We start from the raw sequence: 22,892 nt of genomic DNA on the forward strand, positions 1-22,892 counted from the left end.
TCCGGTGCTCAGGTGTTTCTGTTCTGCCCATCACCCATTACAGAGGAAGTACGTTCATCTGGGGATGCTTTTCTCCAGGAGAGACTTCCCTAAGCCTTTTGACTATGCAGATACTTTCATGCATCTAGAAATAGTTTATTGCCAGTATAATGCAAATTTTATTTCAGTGTAGAAAATAATTTCTAGACTCTCATGTCACATTACTTTTGGCAGGGGCTATTGTTGGAGAGTTAATCATTCTCTGAAAGTCATTGGTTCTTGGTTCTGTTTCTTTTAAAAGAAGAGAGCTCATTTAACTTAAACATGTAATAACATCCAGAACAGGTTGCTTTTCTGGAAACTGTTAATAGAATCTGCATAGCTAGACAATGATTAACATTATGCAAATCTTTTTTTTTTTTTTTTTTTTTTGAGGCGGACTCTCGCTGTGTCTCCCAGGGTGGAGTGCAGTGGCGCGATCTTGGCTCACCGCAAGCTCTGCCTCCCAGGTTCATGCCATGCTCCTGCCTCAGCCTCCCAAGTAGCTGGGACCACAGGTGCCCGCCACCACACCCGGCTAATTTTTTTGTTTTTGTATTTTCAGTAGAGACGGGGTTTCACCGTGTTGGCCAGGATGGTCTCAATCTCCCAACCTTGTGATCTGCCCACCTCGGCCTCCCAAAGTGCTGGGATTACAGGCATGAGCCACTGCACCTGGCTGATTATGCAAATCTTAAGCATTATTTCAAAGGTCTTTATCTTGTCTTCTCTTGGATAGACATTAAGAGGTAGACAGGGTTCAAAAAACCTAGTTTACAAAAAGGGAAGTCATCAGAATTCCATGAAGAGATTTTGGGAATGTGCATCTTCAAGCCCTATTCTTGTATTCATATGATCTTGGAATCTGTCTTCAGAAATTGTTCCCACGTGACTCTGATGACCATCATTAGTTAAGAATCACTCCCAGAGAATTTAAAGCTATATTGATCAAAGTGGAGGATCTATGACATGATCTAACCATTGATTTTTGATTCTGTATCAAATCCTTCAGTATCACACTCTATTGACCAATAGAGTTAGGGGCCAAGGGAAAGCTTATCTTTTTGCCTTCAGTAGATTGACTGAAAAATCAACTCACAAAAGGCAGATTAGTGAGATAAATGGCGTATACATTTACTAGGGTATATGAGAGAGAATCACAGAATGATTGCTCCACCACAAATTGGGGTACAGGTGATTATTCACTCTTATTAAGGGAAAGAGAAGTAGGGAAGTGTGAATGATTTTAGAAGGGTAGTAAATAATTTTGGGGGAGATTCAATGGGTTTGAAGAACATACAATGACCTGGGACCAAGTGTGTCGGGCCCACAGAGCAGACAATGGTTTGTGACAAAAGTCTGTCCAGATATGTTGGCAGACTTCAGTCTTTCTTCCTTCAATACGATTTCAGTTAAGGAAAACTCAGGGAGAATACCAGAGGTAATTGTTTTCTTCTATGTTAGTTCCATACTTTAGGCCTATAAAGAAACTTCAGAGAACAACTTTATCTCGTGCTTTGGGAGAGAAAGGAGAGGAGGGAAGGTCAAAGAGACCTTGAAGTGGCCGAGCGTGGTGGCTCACACCTGTAATCCCAGCAGTTTGGGAGGCTGAGGTGGGCGGATCACAAGGTCAGGAGATCGAGACCATCCTGGCTAACACAGTGAAACCCCGTCTCTACTAAAAATACAAAAAATTAGCCGGGTGCGGTGGCGGGCGCCTGTAGTCCCAGCTACTCAGGAGGCTGAGGCAGGAGAATGGCGTGAACCTGGGAGGTGGAGCTTGTAGTAAGAGGAGATCGTGCCACTGCACTCCAGCCTGGGTGACAGAGCGAGACTCCGTCTCAAAAAAAAAAAAAAAAAAAAAAAGAGACCTTGAAGTTTCTTCTGGAGTTCATCATGTCAAAGCACTGTATTTTGGTGTATGGGTTTCTGGGCCCCAGCAGGGTGAAAGGCAGATGTCAGCAACAGAATCACACAATCCTGATGATACTATTTAATTCCTGAATCCAGAAATATTCTGGATTAGAAAATATATCTTACTTTTCATTTATATGAGACAGTCAATTCCTCTTCATGTTTAAGTTAGTTCTTTGCTTAAGTTTTGTCCTTTGCAAAAGAAAGTAATGGCTTTTATGGTTTCTTCAGAAGGCCTTTCCTTTAATTCCTTAAAAACATATAGAAATCTGGAGAAGAAGCCTTTTGTTTTTAATAGCTTGACAATTATATACCCAAGTTGTTATGTTTTATTTTCCTTGTTTGATGTTCTCCAATTTTCTTGGATTTGTGGTTTCCAGTCTGTTGTTAACTTCTGGAATATTCTTGGACATTACTTCTTCACATATGTCTCTCAGATTCCAATTATATCTGTACTAGATTGTTTAATAACATGGAATAGATATCCCTAGTTCTTGAATGCTCTGTTCTATTTTTTCCCCATTCTTGTTTTCCTCTGTATTTCAGTTTGGGCGAGTTCTATTGATTCCCTTCTTAAGTGCAAGAGTCTTTCCTTGGCTACATGAAGTCTATTGACGAGTCTATCAAAGGAATTCTTTATCTCTGTTACCAAAGTTTTATTTCTAGCATTTCCATTTTATTCATATTATAGTTTCCATATCTCTGCTGAAATTACTCATCTGATTTTGCATGGTGCCAGTTTCTTCATTAGAGCTTTTACCATATTAATTACAGTTGTTTTTAAATTTTCTATCAGAAAATTCTAACAAACACTTGTGTCAGAGCTGAGTGTTGAGTGTGGTTTTGATGATTGCTCGGCCACTTGGAAATGGGTTGTTTCTTGCCTTTTTGTGTAGCTTGTAATTCATTTTAAATCTAGACATCTTGTATTAAATAGTAAAGACTGGGGTAGGGAGGCTGAGGCAGGAGAACGGCGTGAGCCCAGGAGGCAGAGCTTGCAGTGAGCTGAGATTCCGCCACTGCACTCCAGCCTGGGCGACAGAGCCAGACTCCTTATCAAAACAAAAAAAAAGACTGGGGTAAATACTTTTTATTCCCAAAAATGGGCACTTCTTTTTTTTTTTTTTTTTTTTTTTTTTTTTTTGCTAGACCCCACTAGGTGTGGGGTTTCATCCATCTCTTGAGAAATGTGTTAGCATGCTTAGTTAACTTGTACTTTTTAAAGTAAAACTGTTTGGTTTTATTGGTTCATGTTTTTAAAAATATGTCTCACCAAAACGTTAAATATAATTGAATTGGAATATCACTCTTTTAGTAAACCATAGACCTTTGTTTATTTATTTATTTATTTATTTTAAGACGGAGTCTCGCTGTATCGCCCAGGCTGGAGTGCAGTGGCGGGATCTCTGCTCACTGCAAGCTCCGCCTCCCGGGTTCACGCCATTCTCCTGCCTCAGCCTCCGGAGTAGCTGGGACTACAGGCGCCTGCCACCAGGCCCAGCTAATTTTTGTATATTTTTAGTAGAGACAGGGTTTCACTATGTTAGCTAGGATGGTCTCGATCTCCTCACCTCGTGATCCGCCCACCTGGGCCTCCCAAAGTGCTGGGATTACAGGCATGAGCCACCTCACCCGGCCCAACCATAGACCTTTGAACATACCTAAATGCCTGTGATACCATCTAATGAGACGGTTGCAATTTTCATTAAGTTTTCGCTACCCATAAAGTTCTTTTACTTTTCAAAATACACTAGTTATAAAGAAAGTCATTACAAGATATCCAGCCTGTGGCAGACCTTAACTTTCTTCATCATTGGCCTTTAATTTTACTAAACACCAGTAAATTCCAGGAATTCTCAATTGGAAGCATTTTCCCTTTTTTTGATAATGATTAAGTCTCACATTAGGTTTAAACTAAGTTTACCTTTTTTTTTTTTTTTTTTTTTTGAGGCGGAGTCTCGCTCTGTCGCCCAGGCCGGACTGCGGACTGCAGTGGCGCAATCTCGGCTCACTGCAAGCTCTGCTTCCCGGGTTCATGCCATTCTCCTGCCTCAGCCTCCCGAGTAGCTGGGACTACAGGCGCCCGCCACCGCGCCCGGCTAATTTTTTGTATTTTTAGTAGAGACGGGGTTTCACCTTGTTAGCCAGGATGGTCTCGATCTCCTGACCTCGTGATCCACCCGCCTCGGCCTCCCAAAGTGCTGGGATTACAGGCGTGAGCCACCGCGCCCGGCTAAGTTTACCTTTTTAAGAAAAACAATACACTTTATTCCACAGAATAGTTTTAGTTTCACAGCAAAACAGAGTGGAAAGTACAGAGAATTCTCATATACCCTATGCCTCCACACACGCACTGCCTCCCCCGTGATCAATCAGCACCCCTCACCAGAGTGGTACACTTGTCACAACCAACTTACATGGATACATCATTATCATCCAGAGTCTATAGTTTGCAACAGATTTTAATCTTGGCGTTGTACATAATATAGGTTTTGACAAAGGTGTAGTGACATGTATCCACCGTTATAGTATTATACAGAATAGTTCCAGTGCCCCAAAAGCCTCTGTGCTTTGTCTATTCATCTCTCCCTCCTCCCTAACAAGTGGCAAATGCTGATCTTTTTACTGTCTCCAAAGTTTTGCCTTTTCCAGAATGCCATACACTTAGAATCAAAAGTAGTTAGCCTTTTCAGATTGGGTTTCTTTTACTTAGTAATGTCCACTTAGGGTTTCTTGATGTCTTTTCATGGCTTGATAGGTCTCATCTTTTTAGGTTGAATAATATTCCATTGTCTGGATGTACCACAGATTATTTATCCATTCAGCTACTGAAGGTCGTCTTGATTGCTTCCACATTTTAGCAATTATGAATAAAACTGCTGTAAACATCTGTGTGCAGGTTTTTGTGTGGACCCAAGTATTCACCTCCTTTGGGGAAATATCAAGGAATGCAATTGCTAAATCATCTGGTAAGAATATGTTCAGTTTTTTTTGTTTTTTTTTTTGAGACGGAGTCTCACTCTGTCGCCCAGGCTGGAGTGCAGTGGCGCGATCTCGGCTCACTGCAAGCTCCGCCTTCCCGGGTTCACGCCATTCTCCTGCCTCAGCCTCCCCAGCAGCTGGGACTACAGGCACCCACCACCACACCCAGCTAATTTTTTTGTATTTTTAGTAGAGATGGTGTTTCACCATGTTAGCCAGGATGGTCTCGATCTCCTGACCTCGTGATCTGCCCGCCTCCGCCTCCCAAAGTGCTGGGATTACAGGCGTGAGCCACCGCGCCTGGCCTAGTTTTTTTAAAACTGCCAAACTCTCTTCTAAAGTGGCTGTACTATTTTGCATTGCCCAGAAATGAATGAAAATTCCTGTTGCTTCACATCCTTGCCAGTTTTTAGTGTTGTCAGTGTTTTGGATTTAAGCCATTCTAATAGGTGTGTAGTGGTGTCTCTCTGTTGTTTTGATTTGCAATTTCCAGTGACATATGATGTTGTACATCTTTTCATATACTCATTTGCCATCTGTATATCTTCTTGGATGAGGCATCTTTTCAGGTCTTCTGCCCTTTTAAAAATCGGGTTGTTAGTTTTCTTATTGTTGAGCTTTAAGTGTCCTTTATATAACTCAGATAACAGTCCTCTATCAGACATGACTTTTGAATATACTTTGTCCCAGTTTGTGACTTGTCTTCTCATTCTCATAGTATCTATGGTTTTTTTTTTTTTTTAGATGGAGTCTTGCTTTGTCGCCAAGGCCAGAGGGCAGTGGTGGTGTCTCAGCTCACGCAACCTCCACCTCCCGGGTTCAAGCAATTCTCCTGCCTCAGCTTCTTGAGTAGCTGGGACTACAGGTGCCGGCCACCACACCTAGCTAATTTTTGTATATTTAATAGAGACAGGGTTTCACCATGTTGACCAGGCTTGTCTTGAACTCCTGACCTCAGGTGATCCACCCGCCTTGGCCTCCCAAAATTCTGGGATTACAGGCGTGAGCCACCATGCACAGCCAGTTTTTAACTTTAATAAATTCTAGCTTACAAAATATTTCTTTCATTGGTGTTGCCTGAATGTACCACAGTTTTTTTATTCAGCCAGTTAATGAAGGACATCTTGGTTTCTTCCATATTTTGGCAAATATGAGTAAAGCTGCTATAAATGTCTGTGTGAATGTATTTGTGTGCACATAAGTTTTCAACTCCTTTGGGTAAATAGCAAGGAGTGCAATTCCTGGATCATCTGCAAAGTCATCACCGTATCCAGGGTCATCCAGGTTTTCTCTGATGTTATCCTCTAGGATTTTACAGTTTTGCATGTTACATTTAGGTCTATGATCTACTCTGAGTTAATTTTTGCAAAGCTCATAAGGTCTTTGTCTAGACTCATTTTTTCATGTGGATGTCCCATTGTTTCAGTACCGTTTGTTGAGAAGGCTGTTTTTTCTCCATTGCCTTATGTTTTCTCCTTTGCTGAGTTTAGTTTTTATGGCCATGAACAAAATCCTCTTGTTCCTTCACAAAACTATTAAAGACCTTTTTTCATCCTTTTCGTCAAGGCCCAAGTAATTACAATTTCTCTTCAAAACCTCTCATAACTCCTGGAGGTTCTTCAGAGAGTTGAGCTTAGAAGAGACTTATTTAGCAAATGCAACTATAAGGATGCTAATGTACTCTGTCCAGGTCAGAATTTCTTTTCTTCACTAGCTGACGTGTGTGCTTGACCCTTAACGTGGGTCTATAAATGCAGCACTGGGTTCATCAGTGGATCTGTAAGCTTTGGTGTTTTATTTCCCAAGAGCTCTATAGATGCTCCCCATTCCCTGAATTTTGTGCTGTAATGAAGGTGGACATGGCATTGTCAGTGCGACCCGGTCTCAGAGTTAGGTGGACTGCATGTGGGTTCGGGTTCTGCTACTCCCTGTAGGACCTTTCTACAAGTCACCTGTCTCCTCTAGGCCTCAGTTTCTTTATCTGTAATGTTGGACTAGATTCTGTCTATGGTCCTCTAGAGCTCCAAAGTGAAGATAAAACTCCTGTTCCACTCAGGGAGTTTGTATCTTCAAAGTGAAAGCTTCCTGGGGGAAATGAAGCTTGCCTTCACCAACGTTAGAAATTAGTGGTTGAAAAATAGTATTTTTCAGTGTCTGTGAGTCTTGAAGTTATGTTTTCACAGAGTGACAAGAAAACAAATTAATGAAAGGCAGACATCTTCATGAATGAGAGTCAGAGAAAATATGAACATAACATATGACCCAGCATATAGTCTGTTCTCCCTGAATGAATAAAATGTAGGAGTTATTCCCTGGTTTACAAACCAAAATGTTAATCAGAAGTCCCATTTGAGAAGTGAAGTGGGACTTTATTTTATTTTATTTATTCATTTATTTATTTAAGACAGAGTCTCGCTCTGTCCCCAGGCTGAGTGCAGTGGCGTGATCTCGGCTCACTGCAACCTCCACCTCCCGGGTTCTAACAATTCTCCTACTTCAGCCTCCCAAATAGCTGGGATTACAGGCGTGCCACCATGCCCAGCTAATTTTTGTATTTTTAGTAGAGATGGGGTTTTGCCATCTTGGCCAGGCTGGTCTTGAACTCCTGACCTCAGGTGATCCACCTGCCTTGGCCTCCCAAAGTTCTGGGATTACAAGTGTGAGCCACTGCACCTGGCTGGGGCTTTAAAGTATGTAAGATATATAGAGAGACGATGAAGAGGGAGGTACGGAGCGAGAGAGAGAGTGTGTGGCTGGAACTTGAAGTTTTTTTTTTATTTGAAGTTATATACTTTGGGAATAAACTTAGGTTTTCATGCTCTGCCGAGCTTAAGCAAGATGGCAAATGCATACATTGAGCTCTCTAATCATAACCTCAATATATGGATTCTTGTTCATTAAAATACTTGCACCAGCAAATATGATTTCCAAAATTTGTGTTTTGGAGGTAATTAAGTAACTGTATAAAAATAAATGCTTTCCCCTCCTTTCCCCAGTGACTTTCCATACTTTTAAAATAATAAAAATAATGTATATATATTTTTTAATTTTTAAAAGCAACTTAACTCTTTGTTTTTAGGAAACTATAGATTAAGGTATCCCTTTGATCCCGTGTGTACTAGGGATCCACAGGAATGTTCCTCAGCCCTGTGGCATGAGGTCTTTCTCAAAGTCCAGGCAGCTACACAGCATAGCCATGTTACTTTTAATTAGTGTAATTACCATGGAGACAATAGGCATCATCTGTCACTGTTTATCTTTCATTCTAATCAAAAGAGACATTTTAAACAAGCTTTTTAGGATCTCTGAAATATTGTCTACTCATAATCATGTATTATAAAGTTCAGCTGTTTTAAAAGTTAACTATACCAGGAGTGTACTCATTAGGTATGATAACAAGTTAACTGGTTAATCTCATACAGATGGAAAGTTCTTATAAGTTAGACATTTTTGAGTTGTGCACCTATATTTGGAAAGAACAACTTTTAGTCATATCCCTCATATATCTGTTTTGACGTTTTATGTCAGCCTTATGTTTAAATGTGATACCTCATTATAACGTCCTAAAGGCAAGAAACAATATACCCAAATAAAAATATGTCTATGCTTCTGTGTTATAATTTATAAGACTGGCTTCGGTAATTGAATAAACATGTTAAGGTATTTTATTTCAATTATTTATACTCCATTGAGTTGTTCAAATGAGTATGAATCCTTCTAGCAAAAACCCAACCCTCCTTTGGATCTATTCGCAAGGTGCACTTCAAAAGTTTATCATATAGTCGATGTTTGTAATTCTGTCTGTATTATTTCTTCAATAATACCTATGCACCTTGAGGGAAAGTTCTGCCTTATTCTTGCATAAGCTCAATAGGCACACATTTATAATTCAATGCTTGTAATATTTTCTCCCATTTCTGAGATACTTAAAAAATTTAACCTCATTATCACCATCATTACCTCACTATCACCATGAAAATCTCAGTGACAAATAGAGCAACAGTGATCAGCTTGTGAGTAAAAGCCAAATACCAGGCACTAACAAGAGTTCTCTTTTCATAAGAAACCTTCAAGGTCACTGCATGAGGACGAGGCCAGGCCAGTATTCAACATCGGATTTATAGATCCTAAAGTTGGCCACTTTCCTCTTTGCCATGCTGAATCTTTAAAATAAATCCTAATTCAATCTTTTAACCTAATGGCATGTCCAAGTCAAATTTTTTACTACACACTTTTCCCAGATTCACCTCTTTTATTATATATTGGAAAATATAATTTCACAAAGATTATTTCGAATAAAGAGGTAATTTTTCCAATCGTGTAAATGAAATCCACAGGAAAGGAGAGCTCTTCTGTATAAATAGCACAAATTCAGAGGAATGCCTTTGCAAACTCTATGCTTCACCAACACAGATCTTCCCTAGGAAGAGAATTCAAGATTGACCCCAAAACTCATCTCCTGAACTCAGTTGATACATCTTTTCAGTAACTGCCAAAGCCTCATTTGCAATTTCAAATACCTTTGACAAAAAGCCAAAATGTTCTGAAATGTCAAATTCACTTGTACTTTACTTCTTCCACTCTAATGTTTTCAATAAATATATTGTCAGCTACAGCAACAATTTCCAATTTCCCTTGTAAATAAGTGAAATAGCTTGGGAGGATCTTCTGAGATTGCATTGAGGTGTGCTCACAGGGCTATTTCATTTATAAGGTGTCAAGTCAGGTAGGTGGGCTGATCTGTTTCTTCAAGTAGCATCTGTGTAATAGGGTGTTGTTCAGTTAAGAGCCTGAGTCCTGCATCTCAGTGTCTTACTATGGGATGCTGAACAAGCTAAACTTTTTTATTTTATTTTATTTTTAAGTTCTGGGATACATGTGCAGAATGTGCAGGTTTGTTACATAGGTATACATGTGCCATGGTGGTTTGCTGAACTTATCAGCCCATCATCTAGGTTATAAGCCCCGCATGCATTAGGTGTTTGTCCTAATGCTCTCCCTCCTCTTGTCCCTCATCCCCCTACAGGCCCTGATGTGTGATGTTCCCCTCCCTGTGTCCATGTGTTCTCATTTGAACAAGCTAAACTTCCTAAACTTCAGCCCTACCATATGTACATTGGAAATTATAACAGTGCCTTGTATGGCATTTAGTCACAATGTCTGGTGTAGAATAGATGCTCTAAAATTATTATTATTATATGCTGAAGGGCAGACATCTCATCTTATTTTTTTTTTCACTTAAAAGAATATATTTTTTCAGAGACAAGATCTCGCTATGTTGCTCAGGCAGGTCTCAAACTCCTGAGCTCAAGTGATTTTCCCATCTTGGTCTCCCGAAGTGCTGGGATTACAGGCGTAAGCCACCATGCTTGGGCCACATCTTATTTTCATTGTGTTCAGAATACAATATAGGGTTGCATATAACAGCATTAAATGAACTGTTGTCATGCTTCCCTTGCTGATGTGTGTGCATATCTGTAATCCACTTTATGGGGGGATAAAGTTTTGTTTGGGCTCATGTCGGAACTGACGGAGTTGTCTCTTCATTAGAAACTGGATGGTCTAGTTTAAAACTACACTGTAAAGACGTGATGTGGCCTTAGTTATGGCATTTAAATAATGGGTTTAACTCATCAAATTTCCCTAATAATATAACACTAATATATTTAGCTAGTCCACAGAAACACATATTTTTGTAGATTTTCTTTTTTTTTTTTTTTTCGGAGATGGGGTCTCATTCTGTGTCCCAGTCTGTAATCTGTAGTGCAAAGGTGCAATCACACCCATTGCAGCCTCAACTTCCCAGGCTCCGGTGATCCTCCCACCTCAGACTCCTGAGTGGCTGGAACCACAGGTGCATGCCACCATGCCTGGCTAATTTTTTTTTCTTTGTAGAGGTGGAGTCTCACTATGTTGCCCAGGCTGGTCTTGAACTCTTGGGCTCAAGTGATCCTCCCACCTTGACCTCTCAAACTGCTGGGATTACAGGTGTGAGCCACCACACCTGGACATGTAGATGTTCAATAACAAGAAATGTAAACAGTAAAGATATAGTATTAGAGACAATTATCTATTTTTTAAGACCTCCAGACAGCGATTATTCCTTCAGCTGCGAGAAAACGTAAATGCAAAATACCTGCAAAATGCGATGACTTCCTGTAATGTGGCATCACAGGCAAGCTGTGGCTTTTCAGAAGATACATTCACCCTGTTACCTTACAGCTCTACCAAGTGGGACACCCCAGAGATCCTTATATATTATGTCTTTTTAATAGTTATTCCCAGACATTGTTTCTCTGCATTTATTTTCAAAGTATTAATCCAATTTAACACTCATCTTCCTGGCAAGAACAGTAAAGGGTCTGAAATTTTATACTACTTACAATCTAACAAGTTGGCCTGCCACTCTCATGGATGCTGCCAAAAGAAATAAGACTCCCAGGTCAGAGACAAAGAACGTTATTATTATTGTTATTATTTTATTATTTTATTTTATTTATTTACTTTTTTGAGATGGAGTCTCGCTCTGTCGCCCAGGCTAGAGTGCAGTGGCATGATCTCGGCTCACTGCAAGCTCTGCCTCCCACGTTCACGCCATTCTCCTGCCTCAGCCTGCCGTGTAGCTGGGACTACAGGCGCCCACCACCATGCCCAGCTAATTTTTTGTATTTTTAGTACAGACAAGGTTTCACCGTGTTAGTCAGGATGGTCTCGATCTCCTGACCTTGTGATCTGCCTGCCTGAACCTCCCAAAGTGCTGGGATTACAGGCGTGAGCCACCACACTCAGTCAATAACATTATTATTTATGGACCAACAAACAGCATAAGCAACAGGGTATCAGTTGTCCTTGCCCTGGAGTCCCACGGGAAGGACATGGATGGACTCAGATGGATGAATGCACATGCATTACGGGATACGAGCCCTGAGCTCAGGGAATGCAAATCCCTTGTAAAGATCCCTAACTATGCCTAGTCTTTGTTCCAGAAGGAGATACCAACATGCTTGAAAAGATGGTCAAAACAAAGGGCAGTCTGTGTCTGCTCGTAAAGTGTGCAGAAATGTGAGGGACTCATGAAAACATGTCACACAATACTTTCCTCTTATAGTAGACAAGTGAGTCTGTATGCACATGGGGTACTGGATGAAATACTTTATCAAAACTGGTCAGAAATTCAGACAAAAATTTAATTCAATCAAACAACTGCATGTAATAAATAATATTTTCGTGTGGCTACCAGTGACTCACAAGTCCAGCTGCTTCAAAAAACATCCTAATTCTCTAGCCCCATCACAGTTCAATTCAATATAATCTGTGGGGAGGGGCCTGGCCTCAGTATTTTTAAAGCTTTCCAGGTTACTTTAATGAGTAATCAAGTCAGGGCTGACAATCACTAAGCCAAAATAAGCCTACTACTATGCAAGGTCTTTTCAGAGACAGAGAAGGAAAAAAAAAAACTACCTAAAGTAAATTCCATGATACAGTATCTATAAACGAGGGAACCTACAATCTTTGGCAGGAAAAACTTCAATTAAACTCATTTTCTTGCTACGCTGACCATTTATTTTACCAAAATAAGTCATAACGTAAGATCTATTGCTCAGTTCCTGTGTAGACAGAACCTAAAATCTGGGGAGAGGCAAGATCAACTAATTTGTTTTTTTTACTCACTTGACAAGTATTTTGACTAAAGCACTTAAGGATTGTGGTGTTGATTTAAAAAAAAAATGTTTAACAATTTTGTAAAAGACATTTTTTTGCAGTTTTCCAACAAAATCTTGTAAGCGAAGCATGTTTTCTTTCTCCTTATCTCAACCCAAATGGTATGCTATTCCTCATATTTTCTTTTTTTAAAAATCTTGTATTTTAGATTAAGGGGTACATGTGAAGGTTTGTTATGTAGGAAAATAGATTGTTTCATCACCCGGATACTGAGCCTAGTACCCAATAGTTATTTTTCCTGATCCTGTCTCTCCTCCCACCGTTCATCCTCAAGTAGGCCTCAGTGTGTGTTGTTCCCCTCTTTGTGTCCATGTGTTCTCATCATTTAGCTCCCAATTATGTGGTATTTGGTTTTGAACATGTGGTATTTGGTTTTCTGTTCCTGCATTAGTTTAAGCATCATGGCCTCCAGCTCCATCCATGTTCCTGCAAAAGACATGATCTCATTCTTTTTTATGACTACATAGTATTCCATGGTGTATATGTACCACATTTTCTCTATCCAGTCTAACATTGATGGCCACTTAGATTGACTCCAAATCTTTGCGATTGTGAATTGTGTTGCTCTGAATATATGCATGCATGTGTCTTTATGATAGAATGACATATATTCCTTTGGGTATATACCCAATAATGAGATTGTTGGGTGAAATGGTAGTTCTGTTTTTAGTTCTGTGGGGAATCATCACACTGCTTTCCACAATGGTTGAACTAATTTGAACTCCCACCAACAGTGCATAAGCGTTTTTTTTTCCCACTGCGACCTCACTAGCATCTGTAATTTTTTGACATTTAATTATAGCCATTCTGACTGGTGTGAGATGGTATCTCATTGTGGTTTTTATTTGCATTTCTCTAATGATCAGTGATAATGGGATTTTTTTTCATATGTTTGTTGGCCGCATGTATGTCTTCTTTAGAAAAGCATCTGCTTATGTCCTTTGCCTACTTTTTAATGGGATTGTTTGTTTTGCTCTTATAAATTTACTTAAGTTTCTTATTGATGCTGGATATTTGACCTTTGTCAGATACATAATTTGCAAATATTTTCTCCCATTCTGTGGGTTGTCTGTTTACCCTGTTGATAGTTTCTTTTGTTGTGCAGAAGCTCTTTAGTTTAACTAGATACCATTTGTCAAATCTGCTTTCATTGCAATTGCTTCTGGCATCTTTGTCATGAAATCTTTGCCATTCCTATGTCCAGGATGATATTCCCTATGTTGTCTTCCAGGATTTTTATAGTTTTAGGTTTTACATTTAAGTCTTTAATCTAGTTCATTGAGAGTTTTTAAAATAAAGGGATGTTAAATTTTATCAAAAGTCTTTCTTTGTCTATTGAGATAATCGTGGTTTTTGTCTTTAGTTTTGTCTATGTGACGAATCACATTGATTGATTTGCAAATGTTGAACCAACTTTGCATCCCAGGAATAAAGCCTATTTGATAGTGGTGGATTAAATTTTTGATGTGCTGCTGGATTCAGTTTGCCAGAATTTTGTTGAGAAGTTTTGCTTCCATGTTCATCAAGGATATTGGCCTGAAGTTTTCTTTTATTTTTGTGTCTCTGAGAGGTTTTGATATCAGGATGATGATGGCCTCATAGAATGAGCTGAGGAGGAGTCTCTCCTCTTCCATTTGTTGAAATAGTTTCACTAGGAATGGTACCAGCTCTTCTTTGTACAGCTGGCAGAATTCAGTTGTGAATCCATCTGGTCCTGGGCTTTTTTATTTTTATTTTTTTTTATTGGTAGGCTATTTATTACCAATTCAAGTTTGGAGTTTGTTATTGGTTTGTGGAGGGATTCAATGTCTTCCTGGTTCAGTCTTGGGAGGGTGTATGTATCCAGGAATTTATCCATTTCTTCTAGGTTTTGTAGTTTGTGTGTGTAGAGGGGTTCATAATATTCTCTGATGATTATTTTTATTTCTGTGGGGTAAGTGCTAATATCCTCTTTGTCATTTCTGATTGTGTTAATTGGATCTTCTCTCTTTCTTCTTTATTATTCTGGCTAGTGGTCTATCTATCTTATTAACTTTTTCAAAAAATTAGCTCTGGCTTTGTTGATCTTTTGAATAGTTTTTCATGTCTCAATTCCTTCAGTTCAGCTCTGATTTTGGTTATTTCTTGTCTTCTCCTAGCTTTGGGGTTAGTTTGCTCTTGCTTCTCTAGTTCTTTTAGTCATGATGTTAGGTCGTTAATTTAAGATCTTTCTAACTTTTTGATGTGGATTTTTAGTGCTATAAATTTCCCTCTTAACACTGCCTTAGCTGTGTCCTAGAGATTCTGGTATGTTGTAACTTTGTTTTCAGTAGTTTCAAAAAACTTCTTGATTTCTGCCTTAATTTCATTATTTACCTGAAACTCATTCTGGAGCAGGTTGTTTAAGTTCCATGTAATTGTATGGTGTTGAGCAATTTTCTTAGACTTGAATTCTGTTTTTACTGCACTGTGGTGTGAGAGTGTGGTTGGTATAATTTCAGTTCTTTTTGCATTTGCTGAGTATTGTTTTATGTCCAATGTGTGGTTGATTTCAGAGTATGTGCCATGTGGCAATGAGAAGAATGTATATTTTATTGTTTTGGGGTGGAGTGTTCTGTAGATGTCTATCAGGTCCATTGGTCCAGTGTTGAGTTCAGGTCCTGAATATCTTTGTTAATTTTCTGCCTCAATGATCTGTCTAATATGGTCAGTAGGGTGTTGAAGTCTCCCACTAATATTGTATGACAGTCTAAGTCTCTGAAGGTCTCCAAGAACTTGCTTTATGGATCTGGGTGCTCCTGTGTTGGGAGCATATATATTTAGGATAGTAATGTCTTGTTGAATTGAGCCTTTTACCATTACGTAATGCCCTTCTTTGTCTTTCTTAATCTTTGTTGGTTTAAAGTTGCTTTTTTTTCTGTTTTCCATTTGCTTGGTAGATTTTCCTCCATCTCTTTGTTTTGAATTTATGGATGTCATTGCATGTGAGATAAGGTTTTTAAAGACAGCATACCATTGGGTATTGCTTTTTCAGTCAGCTTGCCACTCTGTGCCTTTAAATTGGGGAATTAAGTCCATTTCCATTCAAGATTAATACTGATACGTGTGAATGTAATCTTGTCATCATAATGTTAGCTGGTTATTTTAAAGACTGGCTTATGTGGTTGCCTTATAGTGTCACTGGGCTGTGTATTTCACTGTATTTTTTTTTTTAGTGGCTGGTAACAGGCTTTTCTTTCCATATTTAGTACTTCCTTTAGGAGCCTTATAAGGCATGTCTGGTGGTAAAAAAAAAAAATCTTCTCAGCACTTCTTTGTCTGAAAAGGATCTTATTTCTCCTTCACTTATGAAGCTCAGGTTGGTTAGATTTGAAATCTTGGTGGGAATTCCATTTATCTAAGAATGTTGAATATTGGCTCCCAACCTCTTCTGGCTTGTGAGGTTTCTGCTAATAGGTCTGCTGTTAGTCTAATGGACTTCCCTTTGTACCTTTGTAGGTTATCTCTCATTACTTTTTCTCTGCCTTTAAGATTTTTTTGCTTCATTTCAAGCTTGGAGAATCTGATAGTCATGTCTCTTGGGGATGATTTTCTTGTGAAGGATTTTGCAGGGTTCTCTGCATTTTCAGAATCTGAATGTTGGTCTCTTTAGCTAGGTTGGGAAAGGTCTCATGGATGAAATCCTAAAATATGTTTTCAAGTAGTTTCCATTCTCCCCATCTCTTTCAGAGACACCAATGAGTCATAGATTCGGTCTCTTTACATAATTCTATGTTTCTCAGAGATTTCTTACTTTCACTCTTTCTTCTTTCTTCTTGTCTGGCTGTCTTATTTCAGAAAGCCAGTCTTCAAGCTCTGAGATTCTTTCCTCAGCTTGGTCTATCCTGCTGTTAATACTTGCCATTGCATTATGACATTCTTGTAGCGTGTTTTTCAGCTCTATCGGGTGGGTTACATTCTTTTCTCTACAGCTATTTTATCTGTCAGCTCCTGTATCATTTTATTGTGCCTCTTAGCTTCCGTAGATTGGGTTTCAACATTCTGCTTAATCTTAATGATCTTCATTCATATCCATATTCTGAATTACATTTCTGTCACTTCAACCATCTCATCTTTGCTGGAGAGGTGATGTGGTCATTTGGAGGGAAGAAGGCCCTCTGACTTTTGAGCTGTCAGGATTCCTGTGCTGATTCTTTCTCATCTCTGTGGGCTGATGTTTCTTTAATCTTTTAAGTTGATGTCCTGTGGCTGAGCTTTATTTTATTTTATTCTATTTGATGGCCTTGAGGGTTTGGTTTTGGTACAAGGTGGGTTCAACTGACTGGTTTCATTTCTGGAATATTTTAGGAGGCTCAGGCTCAGCTCAGGACTCCCAAACTGCATGCTCTAACTCTGGGGGACTGGTTTCTGGCCCAGGCTTTGTCTCTGGCCCCTAAAGGTTAGGAACCTGCTGTGCTGGAAGGACCAAGATGATCCAAGACCACTGGTCACAACACTCTGATGGGTGGTGCCAGTCAAAGTGCTTCATAGGGCAGTGCCAGTGAGATCCATCCTGGTTCACACCTTCAGCAGCAGCAGCAGCAGTGGCAGCGAGGTGTGGTGCACATTCACTGGCTGCGGCAGGGAGCTAGTGGCTGCCAGCATGCTGGCCTCATTGTGGGCATTCATAGCAGCAACTGTGGCATCACGGTGCAGGGGTTGGGGGTGGGGGATGCTTGCCCCCTCCCCCACCCCTGTGTCTTTGTGTGCATTTGTGCCGGTGGCGGTGTTAGCATGGGAGTGAAGCACTGGTGAGCACAGGACTGTGTGAGTTCTCCTTGCACATTCACGTGGGTGGTAGTAGCCGCTCAGAACAGGGGTGGGTCCTCTGTTCTCGGTGCCTATTGTCACACTGGTGGTAGTGTCGGTGCAGGGGCAGGGTGTTGGCAGGGGCGGGGCTGGCGGGCTTCATGCCCACTCATCAATGCTCCAACAGTAATGGCAGTATGGTGGGGGGTCGAGAGGGTGAAGTGCACTCAGGATGGCAGCAGTAGCATGGCACACACACTGTGGCAGGAAAGGGGAGGCAAGGTCCACACACACACACATGCACTGGCAAAACGATGTGGGGGATGGCCGTGGGCTAGTGCATGCAGGCAAAGTGGCACGGGGAGACTGCAGTGGGGGCAGGGCACAGTTAGGCTGATGTGTGTACATGGGGGCCACTCTGCAGCAGATCTCTGCTGGTCAGGCACAGTCAGCCAGCACAGGAACTATGATGCAGGTCCTCAGGAGGTAGCCTCCACTGCACCCCGCTGTGAAGCTGCACTGCAAGCAGGTGTGGCCAGGCTGGGGCCCCAGGAGGGGCGAGCAGACTGAAGGATGCTCAGGTCAGACTGGCCCTGTCTCAGGGGCAAGAATGCCCTGCAGAGTTCAGGTCTGACAGTTCCCCTAGGGCTGAAGTCTCCTATGAGAACAAGTTTAGCCTAGGGCAATGGGTGTCCCTGACCATTCTCCACTACAGATGCTCCCACACAAAACCTTCTGGGCTTTGCACAGTCTGGAATTCTACCATTAACACTTTATAAGCAGGTCTTCCTGACAACTCAAGTGTCCCTGGTGGTTGTAGGGTCTCCTCCTGTCAGGAATTCAGGGGCCTGCGACAAGAGGAGGTTGCCCCTTGCCTGTTCAACTCACCTCTCCTCCAGGAGATTTTGGGGACCTGGAATGAGTCCTGGTGCACGGTTGCCCCTTGCAGGGTTCCCGCCTTCCTCCCCCTTCAGCCCAACATCTGTGTCTTCCCTCTGTCTGCTCTCAAAGCCTTCCCTCTGAAGATCTGCCAGGAGCACACCAGTCTTCCCAATGTCCTGGTCCCTTGGTGGGAGCTGTTCCTCCTGGCTGTGTCTAGTCAGCCATCTTCCCTCATATTTTCTTCACACAAGTTAACAATGGTTATTTTCACATTGTAATTTCATCTATTAATTGACATTTAAGAGAAAACAAATCAGAGTGTGTGATAATTTGCTAATATTTCTCCCAATGAGCACATATGTTTTGTTGTTTCCTTCAACAAAGACAGTGATAGCTCCACATCATTGTTCTGATTTTATCAGATCTATAGGAGGAAAACTCAAACTGTGATGAAGGCATTCAGTGAAGATCTAAATAAATGGAGAGTTGTTCTAAGTATATGGATAGAAAGACTCAATATTGTGAAGATGTCAGTTCTTTCAAATTTCATCTATAGATTAAAAGCAATCCCAATAGAAATCCCAGCAAGTTATCTAGTGGGTATTGACAAACTGATTCCAAAGTTTATATAAAAAGGCAAAAGATCCAGATTAGCCAACAAATGTTAAAGAAGAACAAGTTTGAAAGTCTTACACTGTATAGCTTCAAAATCTATGATAAAGTTATAGTGATCAAGACAGTGTGGTATTGGTGAAAGAATAAAAAAATAGATCAATGGAACATACCAGCGGGCCAAAAAATAGACCCACATGTACGTAGTGAACTGATCTCTGACACAGAAGCAAGGGCAATTCAAAAGAAAAGGTAGTCTTCTCAACAAATGGTGCTAGAATAACTGGTCATCCAACATGCAAAAATATAAATCTATACACAGACCTTACACCTGTCACAAAAATTAAGTCGAAATGGATCATAGACCTAAATGTAAAGTGCAAAACTATAAAACTTCTAGAAGACAACATAGGAAAATATTTAGTTGACCTTGATTTTGGTTATGACCTTAGGTACAACATCAAAATGCATGATTCATCAAGAAAAATTGATAAGTAGGAATTCATTAAAATTAAAACTTCCATTCTGTGTAAGACACTGTTAAGACAATAAAAAGACAAACCAAAGATTGGGAGAAAATCTTTGTATAACACTTATCCAATAGAAGACTAGTATCCAGAATACATAAAGAATCCTTAAAATTCAACAAGAAGAAAACAACACATTTAAGAATGAGTAAAAAATATGAACAAACATCTAATCCCAGAAGATATGCAGAATGACAAGCATATGAGAAGATGCTCCACATCATATGTCATTGGAGAAATGCAAATTGAGATAACAATGAGATACTACTACACACAAATTAGAATGGTGACATTCAAAATACTGACACCACCAAATGCTGGGGAGGATATGAGTCAACAGGAACTCCCATCCATTGTCGACAGGAATGCAATATAGTATAGCCACTTTAGATGACAGTTTGACAGTATCTTTCTTTTTTTTTTTTTGAGACAGAGTCTCTCTCTATTGCCAGGTTGGAGTGCAGTGGTGCGATCTCAGCTCACTGCAACCTCCGCCTCCTGGATTCAAGCAATTCTCCTGCTTCAGCCTCCCAAGTAGCTGAGACTACAGGTGCGTGCCACCACGCCCAGCTAATTTTTGTATTTTTAGTAGAGATGGGATTTCACCATGTTGGCCAGGATGGTCTCGATAACTTGACCTCGTGATCCCCCCGCCTGGGCCTCCCAGAGTGCTGGGATTACAGGCGTGAGCCACCACGCCCGGCCGACAGTATCTTACAAAACTAAACATACTCTTACCACATGTTTCAGCAATTGCAGTTCTTGGTACTTACCCAAAGAGATTGAAAACAAAGATATGTTCAACAAAAACTTGCACACAGATGGTTATAGCAGGTTTGTCCATAATTGCCAAAACTTGGAAGATGACTTTTAATAGCTAAATGGATAAATAACCTGTGGTACATCCAGACAACCAAATATTATGCAGTGATAAATAGAAATGAGCTAGCAGAGACATGTAAAGACATTGAGGAAACTTAGATATATGTTGTTAAGTGAAAGAAGTCAATCCAAAAAGGCTACATACTTTAGGACCTCTGGGGGAAGGGAGGGATGAATAGGTGGAGCAGAGAGGATTTTTTGGGCAGTGAAGGTATTCTGTATGATACTGTAATGATGGATACACGTCATTGTGGGTTTCTCATAAGCTATAGAATGTAAAACACAAAGAGTGATCCCTAATGTAAACTATGGTCTTAATAATAGTGTATTAGTATTGGCTCATCAATTGTAACAAATGTACCAGGAGATGTTAATAGTAGGGGAAATTCCTGCAAGAATTGCCCACTCCCACCCTCTCATTTCACAGATGAAGTCCCGTGACCCAGAAGTGCAAAGCCATCTGTTGCTGCTCCCATCCTATTGGAGACATAGCCCTGACTCTTCCTCTGAGTTGGGGTCCAGGGCTCTTTCTGCTCCTCTAAATAGCCACCTCAGCAGAGCCTCCTGGCAAGTAGGATTTAGTCTACACCAGGCTTCCTGCATGCCACTATTTACTTTCCTAATGAAGACAGAAAACGAGGTGTGAAGGCAGCAGCATGTTAGATTTTTCAGTTCTAATGGGAAGAATAAAAACCTCACTATGATGCACTAAAGAGCCATTAGTGAAAACAGTTTTAAGTCCCTACCTCAATTCCCAAGAAAGCTGATGGAGAAAAACGGCAGCTTCAACATTTGCACTTTGACTTGCCTCTCTCCATGGGAACTTCAGATTTCCTTCCTACAGCTAACACAATCCTAAATTTCTAGTGTGGCTTTCAGGGATTACCAAAGACAGAATGTTGAATGAATTGTATGGTTTCTGTCTTCAGTCATAGGAACCATTCTTTGCTCTAGGAGTAGCAATGAGATCCAAATCCAGGAAATATGGCAATATCTTCGATTTACATCATTAGCCCTCAGTATTTTTTTTTTTTTTTTGAGACTAGAAGCAGAAGGCTGCTTCATGCCTGGCTGCCTATCAAAAGAAGCAATTTTCATAAATCTATAGCTCTGAACAATGAAAGCAGAGCTTTCACCTCTGCTGAATCAGTGTCTGGAGCATCAGGGACAGGGGAAAAGTTCTAACATTAGCTTTTTTCTTCTACCTGCTGCTAATCAGAGTGCAAGCGAGAAGTTGTATTCTTCTCAGGGCCAGTAAAGCAGGGAAAGAAATCACTAGTGCTCCTCCCCAGTCTGAGGATCAAATAAACAGCCTTTTTTATCATCCAGCTGCTAGGGGTATGGCTTGAGCTACAGACAGCTCATTAGAAAGAACCACAAAGTTAGAAATTTGGCCTTTGGGGGGAAAATGTCACTCTTCAAATTCCCTGTCTTGTGTTCTTTAACTAAGTACATATCCTTTTTAGGGGCCAGATGGGATGGGGAGACCTGTTTTGAACCTTAAGACAATAATAAGAGCTTAGATATTTACTGAAGGAATGAAATGGTTTGTCTGAAAGTTGCCCAGTTTCACAACTGTTGTTCCATAAAACCAAAGAGAACGATGCTTGCCACGTGGTAAAAGCTGACTTTAGTTGACATCTCTTCCTTCATTCTTTTTCAGCTCACACATTCCTCCCCATTCTCTGAATTCCCACAAAGACTGTTATTGCTGGGGCTCATAAAATTATACCCCAAAGTATGATGCTTTGGCATCCAGAGTGCTTTGAACTATAGGAGATTGAAGGCCCCAGAAGCCAAGTTTCCCTCTGACCTTCTCCTGCCTTCCTGTCTTCCACCCCCTGCTTTTCCCCTGAAGTGAGTCCTGGAAGCCAGAATTCTTCTTGCCCAAAGCAAGCCGTGACACCCTGGAAATATCACTCTAACCTTCCTTGCCTTTCCGTGTGGCAGCTGGCCATGAAGAAATTCTCTGACCTACCTTGTTTGATAGCAGATCACAAGACCCTGGTTCCAGAGCGGTCCTGCTTTACACCGAGGGAAAGGAATGTCATACAGAAAGGCCAAGAAGAATCTGAAGAGATGTCCAATCACCTTTTCACGTGGCTGCCCATTCTTCATTGAACCTAAGCATTAAAATAGACAGTTTCCCCTGGGTCTTTGGGTCTTCATTTCTGAAGACTCCATGTCATGTAAAACTTTGATTAAATAAATGTATCATGCATTACTTTTGCTAACCTGTCTTTTGTTATAGGAGTGTCGCCTGTGACCTTTATGATGGGTAAGGAAAGATTTCACATCTTTTCTACCCCTACATTATCATACTGTGAAATTTTATTATATGCTGTCTTGCCCTCATAGAAAGAGAATTTTGGAGTTTGAAAGAATCCTGCTAATCATGAAATCTGGTCCTTTATTTAACAGAAAAATTCCCAGAGACATGAAATGATTAGTACTGTTTCACAGAGAAGCAGAGGGAGAGCCAGACCCTCAGTCAGTCCAGGCTCTGCTGTCTTTGGAGGTGGGGTTTCAGGTCTCCCCAGCAGGGTTGTGAGGTCCCAGAGAACGGGAGGCAGGCCTTGGGCCATA

At 40.6% G+C, this 22,892-nt stretch overlaps 1 long non-coding RNA gene across 2 annotated transcripts in view; it reads left to right on the forward strand.

Annotated features, from left to right (window-relative positions):
• Positions 1-22,790, forward strand: part of LOC124902157 (uncharacterized) — a 49,126-nt gene extending 26,336 nt beyond the window's left edge. Inside the window, exon 4 of one of the 2 annotated variants that reach the window (XR_007061491.1) lies at positions 21,970-22,789. This is a non-coding gene — a long non-coding RNA (uncharacterized LOC124902157). Of the gene's footprint in view, positions 1-21,969 lie in introns of both variants that reach the window. The other variant, XR_007061492.1, reaches the window with a different exon arrangement.
• The last annotated feature ends 102 nt before the right edge of the window (positions 22,791-22,892 follow it).

This window comes from Homo sapiens, chromosome 9 (assembly GCF_000001405.40).
Source record: "Homo sapiens chromosome 9, GRCh38.p14 Primary Assembly".
Lineage (NCBI taxonomy): Eukaryota > Metazoa > Chordata > Mammalia > Primates > Hominidae > Homo > Homo sapiens.